The 19,510-nt window shown below is 41.9% G+C and overlaps 1 protein-coding gene and 1 pseudogene across 19 annotated transcripts in view; both read right to left on the bottom strand.

The window, feature by feature from the left end:
- Nucleotides 1-10,414, bottom strand: part of RANBP17 (RAN binding protein 17) — a 437,998-nt gene extending 427,584 nt beyond the window's left edge. For all 19 annotated transcript variants that reach the window (XR_007058628.1, XR_941108.3, XR_007058630.1 and 16 more), the window contains exon 1: nucleotides 10,381-10,414. Coding sequence is in view for 15 of the 19 variants with exons in the window: in XM_011534627.2 (XP_011532929.1) it covers nucleotides 10,381-10,398 (18 nt within the window). In the remaining 4 variants the exon portion in view is untranslated. The remainder of the gene's footprint in view (nucleotides 1-10,380) is intronic.
- On the bottom strand, nucleotides 5,288-5,597 carry RN7SL623P (RNA, 7SL, cytoplasmic 623, pseudogene; annotated as a pseudogene).
- Nucleotides 10,415-19,510: the final 9,096 nt, after the last annotated feature.

The following is a 19,510-nucleotide window of genomic DNA, read 5'->3' as shown; positions in this document are numbered from 1 at the left end:
GAAAACTCCATCATCTCAGCCCAAAAACTCCTTAAGCTGATAAGCAATTTCAGCCAAGTCTCACAATACAAAATCAACGGGCAAAATCACAAGCATTCCTATACACCAACAATAGACAAGCAGACAGCCAAATCATGAATGAACTCCCATTCACAATTGCTACAAAGAAAATAAAATACTGAGGAATACAGCAAGGGATGTGAGGGACTTCTTCAAGAAGAAGTATAAACCACTGCTCGAGGAAATGAGAGGACACAAAAAAATGGAAAAACATTCCATCCTCATGGATAAGGAGAATCAATATTGTTAAAATGGATATACTGCCCAAAGTAATTTATAGATTCAATGCTATTCCCATCAAACTACCATTGACATTCTTCACAGAATTAGAAAAAACTACCTTAAAATTCATATGGAACCAAAAAAGAGCCCACATAGCCAAGACAATCCTAAGCAAAAAGAACAAAGCTGGAGGCATCACACTACCTGACTTCAGACTATACTGCAAGGCTACAGTAACTAAAACAGTATGGTACTGGTACCAAAACAAACACATAGACCAATAGAACAGAATAGAGACCTCAGAAATAAGACCACACATCTACAACCATCTGATCTTCGACAAACCTGACAAAAACAAGCAATGGGGAGAGAATTCCCTATTTAATAGATGGTGCTGGGAAAACTGGTTAGCTATATGCAGAAAACTGTAACTGGGCCCCTTTCTTACATTTTATACAAAAATTAACTCAAGATGGATTAAAGACTTAATCAAAACCCAAAGCCATAAAAGCTCTAGAAGAAAATCTAGACAATATCATTCAGAACATAGGCATGGGCAAAGATTTTATGGCGAAATTGCCAAAAGCAGTTGCAACAAAAGCCAAAATTGACAAATGGGATCTAATTAAAGAGCTTCTACATAGCAAAATAAACTATCATCAGAGGGAACAGGCAATCTACAGAATGGGAGAACATTTTTGCAATCAACCCATGTGACAAAGGTCTAATATCCAGAATTTACATAGAACCTTAAACAAATTTAAAGAAAAAAACAACCCCATCAAAAAGTGGGCAAATGTAGTGGCCAGGTGTGGTGGCTCACACCTGTAATCCCAGAACTTTGGGAGGCAGAGGCAGGCGGATCATGAGGTCAGGAGTTCGAGACCATCCTGGCCAACATAGTGAAACCCTGTCTCTACTAAAAATACAAAAATTAGCTGGGCATGGTGGCAGGCGCCTGTAATCCCAGCTACTCAGGAGGCTGAGGCAGGAGAATCGCTTGAACCAGGGAGGCAGAGGTTGCAATGAGCCAAGATTGTGCCATTGCACTCCAGTCTAGACAACAGTGCAAGACTCCATCTCATAAGAAAAAAAAGTGGGCAAAGGACATGAACAGACACTTCTCAAAAGAAGACATTTATGTGGCCAAGAAACACATGAAAAAAAGTTCAGCATCACTGATCATTAGAAAAATGCAAATCAAAACCACAACCAGATACCATTTCACACCAGTCAGAATGGTGATTATTAAAAAGTCAAGAATCAACAGATGCTGGCCAAGCTGTGGAGAAATAGAAATGCTTTTATACTGTTGGTGGGAATGTAAATTAGTTCAACCATTGTGGAAGACAGTGTGGTGATTCCTCAAGGACCTAGAACCAGAAATATCATTTGACAAAGCAATCTCATTACTGGGTATATACTCAAAGGAATATAAATCATTCTATTATAAAGATACATGCACATGTATGTTTACTGCAGCACTATTCACAATAGCAAAGACATGAAAACAACCCAAATGCCCATTGATGGTAGACTGGATAAAGAAAATGTGGTACATATAAGCCATGGAATACTATGCAGCCATTAAAAAGGAATGAGATCATGTCCTTTGCTGGGACATGGATGAAGCTGGAAGCCATTATCCTCAGCAAGCTAATGCAGGAACAGAAAACCAAACACCAAATGTTCTCACCCATAAGTGGAAGCCAAACAATGAAGACACATGGACACAGGGAGGGGAACAACACATACAGGGGGCCTGTTGTGGGGGTGAGGGGAGGGAGAGAGAGCATGAGGACAAATAGCTAATGCCTGCAGAGCTTAATACCTAGGTGACGGGTCAACAGGTGCGGCAAACCACCACGGCACATGTATACCTATGTAACAAACCTGCACGTTCTGCACGTGTATCTCAGAACTTAAAGTAAAATTAAATATGTATTTATATATGAAAATAAAAAGGGGTCCCTTTTTCCCTCTCATGATCAACCTAAGAAGTCTTTTCCTTCATCTAATAAATTTGGAGGACTGAATTTTAGAACTGATAATACTCGGTATAATTAATAAACTGATCCTGCTGGCATGCATTCATCTAGGCCTAAGATTCTTTGAAGTAGACTTTGACTGCAAAAAGAATTAGGCCAAGAAATAGTAATAGACCTGTTTAACAAAAGGCAGCAAAAATGAGACTAGTAACAGTGCCAATCTCATAGGTTTGGAGGATTAAGAGTTAGTGTCATGTAACTTCTGGTACACAGTTGTTTTTAACATTACCTAATAATATTGTAATGATTTTAATTATATCCCCTTAAAATATATGTCCATCTCCCAACTCCAGTACCTATAAATGTGACCTTATTTGGAAATAGGGTCTTCACAAATCCTTAATTAAGAATCTTGGTATGAGATCATGCTGGATTTACAGTGCGCCCTAAATCCACTGACTGGTATTCCTATAAGAGAAAGGAGGGAGATTTGAGATGCAGAGACATAGCAGGGAAGACCATATGAAGATGTAGGCAGAGACTAGAGTGATGTTTCTGCAAGCCAAGAAACAACGAAGATTGCCAGCAGCCATCAGAAGCAGCTGGGCGAAAGGCATGAAATGGTTTCTCCTTCAGGGCCTCCAGAAGGGACCAAACCAGTGTATGTTTCAGATTTCTGGCCACCAGATCTATGAAAATATATTGGTATTAAGGCACGGTGGCACATGCCTGTAATCCCAGCTACTCAGTAGGCTGAGGCAGTAGGCTTGAGCCCAGGAGTTCAAGGCCAGCCTGGGAAACATAGCGAGACTCCCAACTCAAAAAAAAAAAAAAAAAAGTGTTGTGAGCCCTAGAAAAGTAATATGAATAGTAATCAATTTAATGGCACCTAAATAAACCTATTTGGAAAGATTATGGAAAAGTCTGGAAATTATTTGTCTGTTTTGTTTTACTGATATAAAGAACCTCAAGACAGAACAGACCTGGGGTATATTTACATAGTATTTAAATCAACAATGTTACCAATCACTCTTTTTTTCCAAAGATATTTCAAATTATTAACAAATGAAAAAGGCCATCCAAGATAAAAAGGGAAAGGTTTGAATTTTCTTTTACAAAAGACTCAAAGGGAAAATCAAGTTATTCTTTCACTGTAAAGGTAACAAACTTATACCTGGTATACTAAAAACCTTTTTAGAGAAAGGGATACACACACAAAGACCCTTCCCCTGGTAGAAAGGTATTATCTAGACGTATAAAGCAATTAAGCCCACAATATGGTGGTTACTAACCAATCAAGCAATCTTCTGTTTAGCACTTCATTTTCTAAGGAAACTTTATTTTTTATAGTAAACTGATAAATTTTCATCTTAGTTTTATGCATTGATATCTGAGAATATGATTAATATGAGAATGGTCTCAGAAAAATGGATCCCTTCTCAATTTGTTGACAAATCAGGTTTGAGTTCTTAAAGCTTCTACAAGTCTTAATGATAACATTAGAAGCCCATATAAATAACTAAGAGGTAAAACAAAGAGAAGTGGACATCATTCACCTCCCACAGAGTAACTATCAAATACAAACAGACAGGCCAGGCATGGCGGCTCACACCTGTAATCTCAGCACTTTGAGGGGCCAAGGTGGGTGAACTGTTTGAGCTCAGGAGTTTGAGACCAGCCTGGCCAATGTGGCAAAATGCCATCTCTTCAAAAAATACAACAACAACAACAACAACAACAACAAAATCAGCCAGGTGTGGTAGCACATGCCTGTAGTCCCAGCTACTTGGGAGGCTGAGGTGGGAGGATTTCTTAAGCCCAGGAGGCAGAGGTTGCAGCTAGCCAAGATCCCACCACTGCACTCCAGCCTGGGTGACAGAGCAAGACCCTGTCTAAAAAACCACACACACACACAAAAACAGACAGCATCCAACTTTCATACCCTAGGAGACAATGATGTAAACTTGACCATAGTCTAAATAAGGATCTTCCAAATTATTCTGGACTTATTTCTGGCCTTTGTACCTGACACAGAATTGGCCCCTAAATGATGAGTTATTTTTATATAGCAAGTAAAAAGTCACACATGTAACTATCAACAGGTGAATGCTGAGTAAAAGCCACACGTGTTGATAGTCATGCATGCAACTATCAACAGGTGAATGCTGGAGAGTGTATATTGTATGGTTCTTAACAGAAAGCAAATCAGTGATTTCCTGGCTGGGAGGGAAGACAGCAGAGGAGTGGGGGAAAAACAGAGATTACAAAGGGGCACAAGAGCACAAGGAAACTTTTGGGGGGATGGATATGTTCATTTTCTTGATTTTGGTGACAATTTCACAGATGTATACATATGGCAAAACCCATCCAATTGCACAGTTTACACACATTTTATTATCAATTGTACTTCAGTAAAGCTGAAAAAAGAGAATAAATGTTTTTGTTTCAGGAAATAAATGTTCCCTAATAGTAAAACATTAATAAGCCACAAAAATCCTCTTCAATTGAATTTAAAGATCTTTTCAATTACTTTCCTGTATCTTTCCTGCCTTCTGGAATTAAGCTTCTTGATTACAATAAACAGAAACTGCCTTCATTTTGAAGTTACTCATTTCCCACAAACTCTTTTTTTCTTCCTCTTACTACCTTTTCCTGAGTATCCCTGAAGGCTTTTATCTGGATCTCTTGGAATTCTTCCTTCTTAAAATAAAATAGATAATATTTATTTTAGTGCTTTATAGTTTACAAAAGTATTTCCACCTTTTTTTCAAACCAATCCTGAAAAATAGGCTCTTGTGAAGTATGTATTTTCAGTATATTTATTCTACAGATTTAAAAAACTAAAGCTGAGATCAAATATACATAAATTCCTCAAGATTAATGATAAATAATCAAATTCTGAGTCAAATACAAGTCTACAGACCCCAAATACATGTTGTCTCCCCCAACCTGCCCAAATTGCCACTCTTTATTTCCATCATCATCGACCTGGAGATGATGTCCTAGTCTATACTTCAAGAGACAGGGTCTTGCCATGTTGCCCAGGCTGGTGTGCAATAGCTATGCAAGGGCATGGTCCCACTACAGATCAGCACTAGAGTTTTGACCAGCTCTGTCTCTGACCTGGGCCAGTTCATCGTTCCTTAAGCAACCTGGTGGTCCCCCATTCCCATATTGATGGGAGGTCAATATTACTGATGAACTTAGTGGAGACACTTGATCGGTGGAGCACACTACAATACAGCCCAGAACCCCTAAGCTCAAGTGATCCCCCTACCTCAGCCTCCTAAGTAGCTGGGACTACAGGCACACACCACCATGCCTGGCAGTCCATACTTTCAGCCCTGTCTGTTCACCATCTTTACATTTGTGTACAAATTTCTTTCTCTTGGAAATCTAGAAAGATATAAAAAAATCACCCAAAAATGTGACAAACAGAATTGAACATGCTTTCCACTTTAAGTGTCCCTTCTTTTTTTTTTTTGTTGAGATGGAGTCTCGCTCTGTTGCCCAGGCAAGAGTGCAGTGGTGCGATCTCGGCTCACTGCAAGCTCCGCCTCCCGGGTTAACGCCATTCTTCTGCCTCAGCTTCCCAATTAGCTGGGAATACAGGCACCCGCCACCACGCCCAGCTAATTTTGTGTATTTTTAGTAGACATGGGGTTTCACTGTGTTAGCCAGGATGGTCTCGATTTCGTGACCTCGTGACCCACCTGCCTCAGCCTCCCAAAAGTGCTGGGATTACAGGCGTGAGCCACCATGCCCGGCCTAAGTGTCCCTTCTTCTCAGTAGTTTCAGATTTCTAGACCAGAGTGTAGATTTACAAGCTCAATGTTATCTTTTGCTTCCCCCTCTCCTTAGTCTCCTTTGTACCTCCTGTATAGTAACAGATTTGGTCTTGCCATAAGAGACATCTGGCCTTTGCTTCTGAAAGGTAATGTATATCATACCTGATAGGAATGTTTTTATTTAGGGGAGGGGCTGGCCATACCCAATAGTGGTAGGCTGGGGGCTGGCCACACCAGAAACACCAATTACATGTTTAGGATCAGGACTTTGGGTCACAAGGTAATAGTCAACCTAGGACTGATTTCAAACACGTGGACAATCAATCAATCATACCTAAGAACTGAAGCCCCAGTAAAAACCCTGTATAATGAAGTCTAGGTGAGCTCACCCAGTTTGCAATAATTAGTGCATATTGCCATATATTGATGCAGGGAGCACAACATGTCCTGAGGCCAACAGAAGCTTAGTTTTGAAACCTGCACAGATGTTGCCCTGTGTCACCTTCCTTTGACCAATTTTAATCTGTATCCTGTCCCTGTAACAAACTGCAACTGAGTATGACAACTTTCGGTGAATTCTGTGAGTCAACTACTGAACCTGAGGGTGGTTTTGGGAAACCCCCAAACTTGCACTTGGTCTGAGAAGAAAGGGCAGTCTTGTGGACTCTGCCCTCTAATCTCAGTATGGCTAATTCCAGGGACATACCTAATTTGTCATAAAGTCCTCCCAATTATTCTTCTATAAAGACTCAACTCAACACCTCCCCCTGATATTCACAGACAGTAGATCAAGCAATATTTTCTAACTGTGGCTGCCAGGGCCAGGGATTTCTCAAGCTGCTCTGGGAATGCGAGTAGAGAGTAGTGGGGTCTTAGAAATGTCATGGTTCGATTTGAAAACCACTGGTCCAACAGAGTGGACACAACCTTTGGAATCTGCCACTCACTTATTAAGTGACCTCGGGCAAATAATTTAACCTTTCTAAGCCTTGCTGTTAAAACTGCAAACAGGGCCGGGCGCGGTGGCTCACTCCTGTAATCCTAGCACTTTGGGAGGCCGAAGTGGGCGGATCACCTGAGGTCAGGAATTCGAGGTCAGCCTGGCCAACATGGAGAAACCCTGTCTCTACTAAAAATACAAAAATTAGCAGGGCATGGTGGCTTGCAACTGTAATCCCAGCTACCCAGGAGGCTGAGGCAAGAGAATCACTGGAACCCGGGAGGCAGAGGCTGCAGTTAGCCGAGATTCCACCACTGCACTCCAGCCTGGGCGAGCAAGATTCTGTCTCAAAAAACAAACGACAACAACAACAACAACAAACCTGCAAACAGCAATATCTACCTTCCAAACTAATTGTAGAATGAAGATAGAAAAGATGGGGAAAGCCTAATCCAGTGCCTGCCATACAGAAGATCCACAATAAATCATAAATAATCTCTCCAGTTACTGGTGAATATAAAAGACCATACGGATCTTCCATAGTTTCTCCCATTCAAGTCCACACTGCCAGAATGGTCATTCCCACATACCTTTTCTCATGTTATAATTGCATTTAAAAATAATAGTTCTCAATCACATCTAGATCAAATCAGGTAGCTTGACTGGAGATTAAGAAGCATGGCTATATTTCCTGCTTCTTAAACAGTCCTGAGCAAAAAAGTTGGATCAACTGAGTCCCTTAAATTTTTCCTAACATTCTCTCGATTCTTACCAAGGTACCTCTGTTCTACCTAAAGTGCCTACCTCTTACTTCTTCTCAATTCTTTTTCCTCACTCTGCCCCCTTATCTGGATTGCCTGTCAGGGAATCCAGACCCATTAATTCCTTTGGGACAGGGTATCGTAATTCACAGCTTCCTAACCAGAATGCAACTGCTTTGAATGATTCACAGGTATGCCTGAGATATTGATCCCTCTGCCCTCCAAGCATTAGGAGCAGAGCTTGAGACATTGGGGAAAGTGCACACTGATGGCCTTTGGCAATGAGCGGTTTATGTTAATGAGACACACAATTAACATTTTTTATGTATGTCATGATGTGAAAAAGATGTTGACCACTACCCTAACCTCACCCTACACAAATCTGCTTCTTTACTCATCATCTTGATGGTATAATTTTTGCCTAGCTGCCCTTTTGGGTAGGTGACAGTAAGACAGAGGTAATGGGGAACACGGAACTTATGAGTTATGAGGCCTACTCTAACTCTGTAACGTTGGGCAAGTCACAACTGTTTTAAGACTCAGTGTCTTCAGAATGAAACGTATATATGCACACTTTTTAAGTTAGTGGCAGGGCTCACCTCTATAATGAGGATATGAAAACTCAAAATGCTAGGTACTGGTTATCACTATTAACAAATGTTCCTTGAGTTAACTGATTAACAATATGATCCTATATGCTAAAAAGAATTCAAACGGAGAAATTTCAGTTTTTTTCTAGTCAACAAAACTGTCTGATCTTTTATTTGTCCAACTCCGCTTTTAAGCTGTCTACAGGAATGTACTGTGAAGTACTTATGTTGGAATGTACTGTGAAGTACATTCCTGCAAAACCAATATGGGTAGTTTTGACATCAGCAGCTAACTTTTCCAACACTGTGCCTAAATATGAAGAAGTCTTCCAGGGCTTGGTGATTTAACTGTACATCACCTTTCCATGTATGAAAAAATTCCAAAGTTCCACCATACCTTTTAATTTACTCTCAAGATTTACTCGGGCTCTGTGAACATCTGATTACCTATTTACAATCCATAAATCCTCCTTGTAAGATTCTTCCTGTGAAAATTTCCCAGAGGGCATATTTACTAAAGTGGTAATACATTATTTTGACCTGAGGACCCTTAGAAATGGCATGAAGTCAAAAGGTAATGTGTCGGGCTTACTACATAACATTCTAGAACTGTCGATTATCAGACAGTAACTGGTTTTAAAAAAAAGACCCTTTAGAAGAATCAATAAATCAGCCAAGTTATAAATCAGTGTGATCACAGGGGGTTCAAAAGAGTCTACAAGGGGAATGAGATTCTTAGATACACTGTCACCATATTATGAAATTCCCTTCCCTCCCTGGGGTCATCTCCTGCCACCCACTGCCTCCCCTGATCCCATCCCTTTGTCCCAACCAGACTCAACTTTCTGCAGTACACCATGTTCTTCCACAATTCTTTGCCTTGGCTCACACGTCCTTCTACCTCCATATCCTTCCCTTCCTCTTCACCTGGCAAACAACTACGACTCTTTCAAGGACCAGTAGACTGCAAGTTCCCTGAGAGTAGAAACCATAGTTTTGTTCAGAGCTGTTGTATCTTCAGCGCCTAGCATAGTAGGCGCTCAATAATTAATAAATGGAAGAATGGAGGCTCAAAGAATCTTAAAGCATCTCTCAGCTAAGAGCATAGCAGCTCTGCTTCACTCCTTCTCAACATACACATTTGGCTGGCTACCCCCTTTTCTGTGCTATGATACTGTGACTATTTCTACCATACATTTTTCACTTGTACTGTAATTCTCTGTTAACTGTATGAGGGCGAGGATAGTAAGATGTCATCCTTTATCCCCAGAACTTTCCACAATGCTTGAGACACAGTGGGGAGATAATAAATGTTTGCTGAATAACTGAACGGGGATGTCAGAGCAGCCCGAGGATATACAAGCACGCGTCCCATCTTCGTAGCCTCTGCGATCCTCGCGTCCGCGCCCGCGCCCGCGCCCGGCCCGGGTTTCCTCCTCCGAAGAGGCGGCCGCGTAGCCCTCCCTCGCAACTCCCCCCAGACGCAGCCCCTGTCTCCTCTGGCCAATTAAAGTCCAACCGCTGCCGCCGCTCCTTCGGTGGATCCCAAGCCCCCGCTCCGGCTGGGGCTCAACTGTGTGGAGGGAGGCTGACGATAGAGCCGCGCCGGCGACGCGGCGGGAAGGCGGGAAGGCTGCTCCACCGCTCGGCAGCCGCGCGAGGCGCGCCAAAGCCGGCCCAGCTGGGACTCCCACCTGCCCTGGCAACACTAAAGCCGCGGTCAGCGAGCGTGCTGCCGGCGTCCGCACCTTCCCCGGGACGAGCCCTGGGCCTGTCCCCCGCCCCCTCCACCCGCCGCCTCCAACCCAGGCTCGGCCGCCCCTTTCTCGGGCTCCGGCCCGGGCCTGGGGTGTGCAGCCCAGACCAGTGTCCCGGTCCCCGGCTAGGGGCAGAGGCAGGGGCTGGGACTCCGGGGACACCGGCCCACGGCCCTGCGGCCTCCGCCGCTGTCCTCGGCCCTCGGTCTCCAGACGCGTCCCGCCGGGTTCCCAGCGTGGCGGAGCGCGGGCCCGCGGCGCAGAGCACACTGACCTGGAAGTGCAGCGCCATCTTCCCAGGAGGCGGCGCCGGCCAGCCGGCCGGTCGGCACCCAGCGCCCGAGGGGAGGGAGCAGAGGCGGGCGCCGCGGAAGCCCCAGACGCCCGCGGGGTCCCTGCGCCGCTCGTCCTTCGCAGCCTCAGCCAGGCTTCGCGTCCGCATTCGAAGCGCTGGAGGGGCGGGGCTGGGAGGGACGGGGCGGGGCTGGGAGGGACGGGGCGGGGCGACGGAGGCGGTGCACGGGGCGGGGCCGATAGGGGCGTGTCCTCCGGGAATCTCAACCGTCCCTTGCGCTCAAGTTTCAACCGGCGTGTGTTGGTGGGTCATGACCTCCAACCTCTGCCCTTTGACACAACTACCACGACCCACCCGTCAGCCGTGGACCCTGACTCATAAGTCTTCCAAAGGCTCTCTTGACCCCTGACCCTCAAAATACAACTATCGCCCATGGCTCCCGACACCTGCATCTCCACAGATTTTCTTGTCTCCTAACAGCCAGGAACCACAGACACACACAGCCATAACCTTTGACTCCCACATGCCAGCTGTTGCCCTTGACCCCTGACTCCCAGGGCCCAAATTCCATTGTTGCTTAACAATGTTTTTAACTTGATTTTGGTTAAAATTAAACCGCCCATGTCTACATGCTGTTAAGTTGTAAAATTCAAGCTTTACCTCATTCTTTGTCTGCATTTTGTTTAATATGAACTTATATTTTACAACAAATGATTCCACTGCAATGAGAATTTATTGGAGCAGAATTGGGTCAAAGTTGCTGCTTTCTGATGTTCTCCGTTTTTTCTTCAAGTTCAGCATTTCCATTTGGGAGCACTGTGCTGTAGTATTTAAGAGGGAAACTCCCTTAAGCACTTCTTGTATTCAGGTCTGCTAACAACAAAGTCTCTCAGCTTTTGTTAACATAAAATCATCTTAATTCACCTTCATTTTTTAAAGGATAGTTTTGCTGGGTATAGAATTTCACATTGGCTTTTTTTTTAATCTTTCAGCATTTTAAAAATGTCTTCTCATTGTCTTCTGCTTGTCATTGTTTCTATTGAGAAATCAGCCATCAGTCTAATTGTTGCTCCTGTCTTTTGGCCCCCTCCTCAGGTACTTGAACATTTTTCTCTTTTTTTATTTTTTCTTTTTGTCTTCAGCACTTTGTGCTTGATGTCGCTAAGTGTGTGTGTGTGTGTGTGTTGTATTTATCCTGCTTGGGATTCATAAAGCTCTTTAAGTGTGAATGTAATCTTTTTTATCAAGTTTTGAAAAATCTTGGTCACTAGTTCTTTAAATATTGCATCTGTCCCCTTCTCTCTCTCTACCTCTCCATTCTGGAACTCCAGTTACATGTATGTTATAAGTTTTTGCTATATTCCTTATTTCTATTCTGTATTTTTTATTTGCCTGCTGTCCATTCCATAGAAACTCTGTTCTGCTGTGTCTGAGCTGCTATACATCCCCTCTATTGAATTCTTAGTTTTAGTTATAATATTTTCAGTTCTAGAATTTTCATTTAGAAAGTTGAAATTTTCATGGTTCCTCCTCCTCTCCCATTTTAAAAATAGATTCCAAGGCTTTGATGAAATTCTTTGTCTTTATTTTCTTAAACATTTTAACTGTATTATTTAAAGCCCTTATCTGTTAACTCCAATTTCTGAATCATCTGAGTCTTCCTGGGTTTTTGGTGCTTGGCCCTTGGCCCTTTTTTTTCTTTCTTTTTTTTTTTTTTTTTTTTTTTTTTTTTTTTACATATCTCATGATTTCTTGTTGAATTCAAACCATGTAGAAGAAAATTTGTAGAGGCTCTGGATGATAACAGGTTTCTCCAAGGAGGGCTAAGTTTTCTTGTGGTAGGCAGACAAGAGTACTAGTGGATCATTGAGTCTTTTTAATTCTGGTTAACTTCAGTTATGACCTTACTCCTAGGCCATGGTCCTTACTAGGTCTTACAACTAAAAGCCTAGAATGTGGCTGGGCATGATGGCTCATGACTATAATCCCAGCACGTTGGAAAGCCAGAGAGGGTGGATCGCTTGAATCCAGGAGTTTGAGACCAGCCTGGGCAACATGGTGAAAGCCCATCTCTACAAGAAATACAAAAAATTAGCTTGGTGTAGTAGCATGTGCCTGTAGTTCCAGCTACTCGGGAGGCTGAGGTGGGAAGACCCCTTGGGCCCAGAAGCTATAGGCTGCAGTGGGCCGTGATTGCACCACTGCACTCCAGGCCAGGCAACAGAGCAAGAATCTGTCTCAAAAAAACAAAAGCCTGGAATGTTTACCAAGATCCTTCCACCTTGTGGGGCTTGAACTCTAGTCTCTGTCTCTTCAGCCCTGTGTAGCTGCTGAAATCTTTGTTGAGCTCTTTAGGTGCTGTTGTTCTGCTGGATTTCTTAGAGTCTCTTCATGTGCATGTATATCTTAGGAACGGACACAAATTTGGGGACTCACATCTCTATAGTTTCTTTCTTTCTAGAATTTTGTCCTTCAAATCTCAGTTGCTCTTGTTCCGAAACTCCAGCCTTTGCTCCTAGCCTATTGAGACTGCTGCTTTCTATTTAGCTGTTATTCCTTGCTGCCACTTGGAAAATGCCTTGGGGTGATGACAGGGAGGAGCAGATGGGGAATCTAAGGTAAATTGGAATCTTACCCCTTGTGCTTTCCTTCTTTCAAGATTTGTGGCCACTTAAGTTCTGCCTTTTCTATTGCCTTTAGTTGTTAAAGATACTTATCTGTCGTGTGTGTGTGGGTGTGTGCATGCATGATTGCTGATAATTCATATTTACTCATAGTTTTATATATATTTAATATATGTGATAGAATTGTCATACACACACGTGTCCTATCTTTATAATAGTTTTCAGTGGGAGGTCTAATCCAACATAAGATACTTTATTATTATAAGCCTGTTTGCATCTTCCATGCTTCACCCTTGGTTTTCATAGCTCATCCACTGTCCATAAATCTGCATTTCCACAACTGAACTCCTTTAAACCTTAAAATCGTTAATACCCTCCCCCTGTGTCCCATTTTCACTCCTGTGTCCCAAAGTTCCTGATTCCCATAGTCGTAACTTCCATTTCCATGTCTCAATACTTTTGATATCCAATCTCAACTGTGATTCCCACAACCCAACATATCTGATGCCCACATCCCAAACACGCATCCTGATTTCTGACCTCTGTAAGATGTCTGCTGCACAATACCCCGTTATTTTAACTGCCTGCTGCTTTTGCCTAACTTCTAAAACCCAACCACCTTTTAAAGCTATTGTTTTAAAATGGCATTTTTATCACCTCAAATTTTAGGTCCTTGAGGGAGAAACAATTATTTGAGTTTTGAATCATTTAATTTTTTTCCCACTCCAGAATATTGTCACCAGAAATGTAGGGCTGTGAAAACAACAGAGGATGCCAAGTACTCTGTGGATTCACCAGGCAATTCTGGAAACAAGAAGACAACTTTTTTTCCTTTTTTTTTTTTTTTTTTTTTTTTTGAGACGGAGTCTCGCTCTGTCGCCCAGGCTGGAGTGCAGTGGCGGGATCTCGGCCCACTGCAAGCTCCGCCTCCCGGGTTCACGCCATTCTCCTGCCTCAGCCTCCCAAGTAGCTGGGACTACAGGCGCCCGCCACTACGCCCGGCTAATTTTTTGTATTTTTAGTAGAGACGGGGTTTCACCGTTTTAGCCGGGATGGTCTCGATCTCCTGACCTCGTGATCCGCCCGCCTCGGCCTCCCAAAGTGCTGGGATTACAGGCGTGAGCCACCGCGCCCGGCCTTTTTTTCCTTTTAAAATTTGAGTGGCTGCTTAAGATTTCTGTTTTCAATCAACACTTTCTTACGTGAGTGTCTATCAACAAAATATGCATACAACTCCATCTCTTTTATGTCAGTTAATAAAATTTAAGATAGAATTATGTCCCTACAACTATTAAAATTAGCACAGAAGATGCTCCAGGACGTCAAATAATTCATTTCTATCACAAAACTCAATTAAAGGAAGGACATTTAGAACCCATAGGAATTATAAAATTATCTTCCTTTATGGAAACTAGCCTTCTAAAAAAGACAGATGGATCTTTGATCTTTGTACTTTTCAGGAGATTCAATTGACATTTGTAATTCTCATACCTTAGGAAATTCATCTAACATCTCTGAGTTTTGATTTGTTATTTCTAAGATCAGGATGACAGTAAGTCTGTAATTCAAATAATTTTCTGAACAATAACATGAGATGAGGCAGGAGAGCACAGTGGTTAGGAAAACAGAGTCTAGATTTTGATGTCAGCTGTATTCCTTACTAGCTGGCAAACTTGAAGGCACTTCATCTCTATGCTTTCATTTCCCCATCTGAGAAATGGACATGTAATAATACTTATCTCATAGGTTGCTGTGGTGATTAAATGAGTTGATACATGTAAAGTACTTAGAAGGTGCTTGGTAAATAATGAGTGCTATATAAATAGTAATTATCAAGTACATTTATATCATCTGAATATAATGTTTAAAATTATATTTTGATAGCATAGGATTATAATTTTAATCAAACAGAGTAAGTTACTCTTTTTTTAATTTGTAAATTGATCAAACTGGATATTTCCTCATTGCCCTGCTCCGACCTCACCCAGCTTTTCTAGCCTGAAAAATTTTGAATGGTTGTGACATTACCTACATTACCTTTCTGGATGAAATGGAAAGGCTGTTAATGTTAATATTTTTGTAAATTGTGAGACTGAAACTGAAACTCTATCAGTACTTAAAAAGTAAAATCTATGATCAATCATTTACTTTAGTAGCACTTTTAAACAAAGTACAGGAAACAGTGTACAATTCCCTTAGCTTATTCTACAATTGCAATTTTGTTAAGTACATTTAGAAAGATTGCTTAATAACTCAGTAAGCTTTGGGAATCCAGCAGAGGGCAGGCAGGTGAGAGAAACAGGAGAAGAATGCATCCTCAAAATTCAAATTTACGTTAAATCCTCCCAAAACGCAACAGTTATATATTAATAAAATATTCACCTGTGTGTTTTCTTTCATGCTGGTTAATTTTTGTTTTGTCAATTCATTGACCTTAAACATAATTTATTTAAATATCCAGTGCCTAACCAGAGTACAATAACAAAAAATTCTTCTCCACTGTTGATATGAATTCAAGTTATTTCATAATCTTGATTATTACATATATACTAAAAATTATACACACTTTTCTTTAGATAGTTTTACATTTTTAACATACTGGCAATAGAAAAAGTATACTGCTCTGTATTAATAATGCCAGTGTTGGCTGGGCGCAGTGGCTCATGCCTGTAATCCTGAAACTTTGGGAGGCCGAGGGGGGTGGATCACGAGGTCAGGCATTCGAGACCATCCTGGCAAACATAGTGAAACCCCGTCTCTACTAAAAATACAAACAGAAATTAGCCAGGCATGGTGGCAGCACCTGTCATCCCAGCTACTCGGGAGGCTGAGGCAGGAGAATCGCTTGAATGTAGGAGGCTGAGGTACCTTACAATGGAAGGCCTTTTACAGTTGTGAACAGCCAGAGAGAGGCCAGAAGTACTAGTCACTGTCTACATATTTGCAAAGTTGAATATAAGTACTGGCAGCCTGGCTGGAAAACTACAACCCTTCTGTGTTTCAGTCAACAAACTCTTTTAGGTTCATTTGAGGAAGGAACATTCGTATCGGTTATAGAAACCTTTTTTTGTGCCCTTCTGGTAAGATCAAGAAAGTGCCGTCCTAAGAACTTGCAGAATGAGAGTCAGTGGCTGTGGTGGAGCCTTCTTTTCAAAAAATGCTATGTCCCAAGAGGACATTACTAATTGAAAACACATGGACACCAACAAGTCTGAGTTGAAGTAATTTGGAAGATTCAAATTCTATGTGCGAAGAAGTTTTAGGGATATCTTAAGCAGTTAATTTCACTTCTGTTTTTTTGTTATGTACGTACAAGAATGAATAAAGGTGGCCAGGCGCGGTGGCTCACACCTGTAATCCCAGCACTTTGGGAAGCCTAAGCGAGTGGATCACCTGAGATCAGGAGTTTGAGACCAGCCTGACCAATAAGGTGAAACCAAGTCTCTCCTGAAAATACAAACATGAGCCAGCTACTTGGGAGGCTAAAACAGGAGAATCGCTTGAACCTGGGAGGCGGAGGTTGCAGTAAGCCAAGATTGCCCCACTGCATTCCAGCCTGGGAGACACAGCTGAGACTCCATCTCAAAAAAGAAAAAAAAAAAAAGTATAAAGGTAAAATCCAGGTCTAAATAAGTCTAAAAGATCTCTTTCAGTAAGTACTCAGTAAGAATTCTAAGTTATGTTGCTACAGTTCAACTGTCAAGAGTTTTTCTTTCTTCATGGTGTATAAAATAATTAGGCTTATTACAATTGATATGTGCCTTAGATTGGAAGAAAATCAGTCAGTGGTAATTTTTATTTTCCTTGAAATGGCATCACTTAAATAGTTGCCACACGTAGACAATAATCTGCAAAAACATGCCAAGGTCGGCCAGGCGCGGTGGCTCGGGCCTGTAATCCCAGCAATTTGGGAGGCCGAGGCAGGCAGATCATGAGGTAAGAAGTTCGAGACCAGCCTGACCAACATGGTGAAACCCCGTCTCTACTAAAAATGCAAAAATTAGCCGGGCATGGAGGCATGCACCTGTAATCCCAGCTACTCGGGAGGCTGGGGCAGGAGAATCGCTTGAACCCAGGAGGCGGAGGTTGCAGTGAGCCGAGATTGTGCCACTGCACTCCAGCCTGGGTGACAGGACAAGACTCCGTCTCAAAAACAAAACAAAAAAAAACATGCCAAGGTCCCTAGGATTGGTTCCTTATTATGGCAGAATTCGTTTGGATAAAATAGATAACCTCTGAGAGACTGTCTCTACCTGGGATAACTAAAGTGGTGCCCATCATGTCTGCATCATTAGGAATATACTAGAATTGCTGTTTAATATAGGAAAAAATGAGGATATACTCTAGGCACATATTAGTAACATTCATCATTAATTAGCTAATGGGGTCTCACTGGGTGGTTGTCTGAGAAGTCAAAATATTGGCCTCAGGGGGCCAGGAGAATCTGTGCAAATATGGATGTATTAATATAATCAAATTTTAGAGTGTTCAAGGAGACCATGGCTGGCTAATGCGTTGGCCATGTGATTAAGAAGGGAATTCGTGACATGATAAAAACAACACGGAACCACTCTGTGGACTGATGTATAGCTGGCCACTCTGTCTAGTAATATTGAAACCTCCTCTGGAGGGATCCACTGACAAAGTGATGATAGAATCCATCTGGACAGTGGTTTTTATTTCTGTATGGTTTAACACAACCAGCATATTTGAGACTGGGGAAGAATGTATGGCATTTCCAAAGTCCCCGTTTGAAACCGGATCATTTGAACTTAGGCTAAAGCAGAGGCACTTCGCCAAGGGGTTACCATTGGCCTGACACCTCCAGCAAGGACCCAGCATTGGTCATTTGACATTTGCCTAGCACTGGACATTTCCTGTGCAGGACCTCTTGGACTACCTTACCTGCAAACAATCTGATATTGACTGTTTTACGAAAGAGATACCAGAATTTTGAAAATGGGCCAGGCGAAGGCATATCTTAAATGAGCTATCCTAGCCAAGATTTTCACCCCGCTGTTTCCACTGATCCACACCCCTCCCCACACACAATTTGGACTATCTGTTTAAAAACTGGGTGACTTATGCGATTTTATATCTGTCTCTGCTGCCATGTTGACTGTAGATGAACCTTAGTCATTTCACAAACTGGTTAATCTTCTGGTCACTTGCTGAGGATGGTCTGTGGGCAACATTTTACAAATATCCAATTGCAAATCATTTTATTGATTCTTAGAGTATTTAAAGATTGCTATGCTAAGCTATTTGTGAAATAGAGGATTAAACTCATTTAAAATGTTAATCTTCTTCAGTGAATGAATCATGCATTCAACCTGTTTTAGTTCTTCCATAATGCTCAACAGAAAGTTTACCATAGAAAAGTACTTACAGTATCACTGAATTATTCTTGTCAACTAAAGTGGTATGTGGTCATCAGGTGAGTAAGACAGGCTTTTAAATTGGGTGAATACTATTAAAAAACTAGATCCTATTTTGTCTGGAAAGAATAATTATATTTAACACTTTGATAGGAAACCTCGACTTTCTAAAAAAACTATCTTAAGTATATAAGTAAATATACATGATAATTTTATGTGAAATGTCTATACTTGTATAAATTTGTTTCCTTTCTTATAGTCAGCAGGTTCATATTCTCCCTCTTGTTCAATATAGTCTTGAAATCTTTTTTTTCCTTTTTTGTTTTTTTGTTTTTTTTGCTTTTTGAGATGGAGTCTCACTTTGCTGCCCAGGCTGGAGTGCAGTGACACAATCTCAGCTCACTGCAACCTCCACCTCACCAGTTCAAGCGATTCTCCTGCCTCAGCCTCCTGAGTAGCTGGGATTATAGACACCTGCCACCATGGCCAGCTAATTTTCTGTATTTTTAGTAAAGATGGAGTTTCACCACGTTGGCCAAGCTGGTCTTGAACTCCTGACCTTGGCCTCCCAAAGTGCTGGGGTTACAGGCATGAGCTACCACACCCAGCCTGTTCAGTATAGTCTTCATAATCTTTACTGTTCATTGTGACTCAGTTCCATGCAGGAATTTGATATGTGAATGAAGAGCCTATGCATCCAATAGATTAGAGGTGGCATAAGTGAAAGATACAATATACTTCATAATGTGCTGCACTTAGAGGTTTACTGTCAGGCCAACAGTTATGAAATGGTGCTACTCCACTCTTTCCTTACCCCTTGTTGTGAATTGAATGTTTGTGTTCCTCCAAAATTCATATGTTGAAGCCCTAACCCTCAAGTGGCTGTGTTTGGAGATAGGACTTCTGAGGAGGTGATAAGGGTTAAATAAAATGGGTCCTAATCCAGTACAGCTGGTGCCCTTATAAAATGAGGAAGAGATAGTAGAGCTCTCTCTTCCCACCATGTGAGGACACAGTGAGATGGTAGCCATCTGCAAGCGAGGAAGAGCACCCTCACCAGTAATCGAACACTGCTGGACCTTGATCTTGAATGTTCCAGCATCCAGA

The sequence above is a fragment of the Homo sapiens genome, chromosome 5 (genome assembly GCF_000001405.40).
Source record: "Homo sapiens chromosome 5, GRCh38.p14 Primary Assembly".
In the NCBI taxonomy this organism is placed as follows: domain Eukaryota; kingdom Metazoa; phylum Chordata; class Mammalia; order Primates; family Hominidae; genus Homo; species Homo sapiens.
Note: the sequence above shows the minus strand (reverse complement) of the source record. Positions and strands in the feature narration are given on the sequence as shown.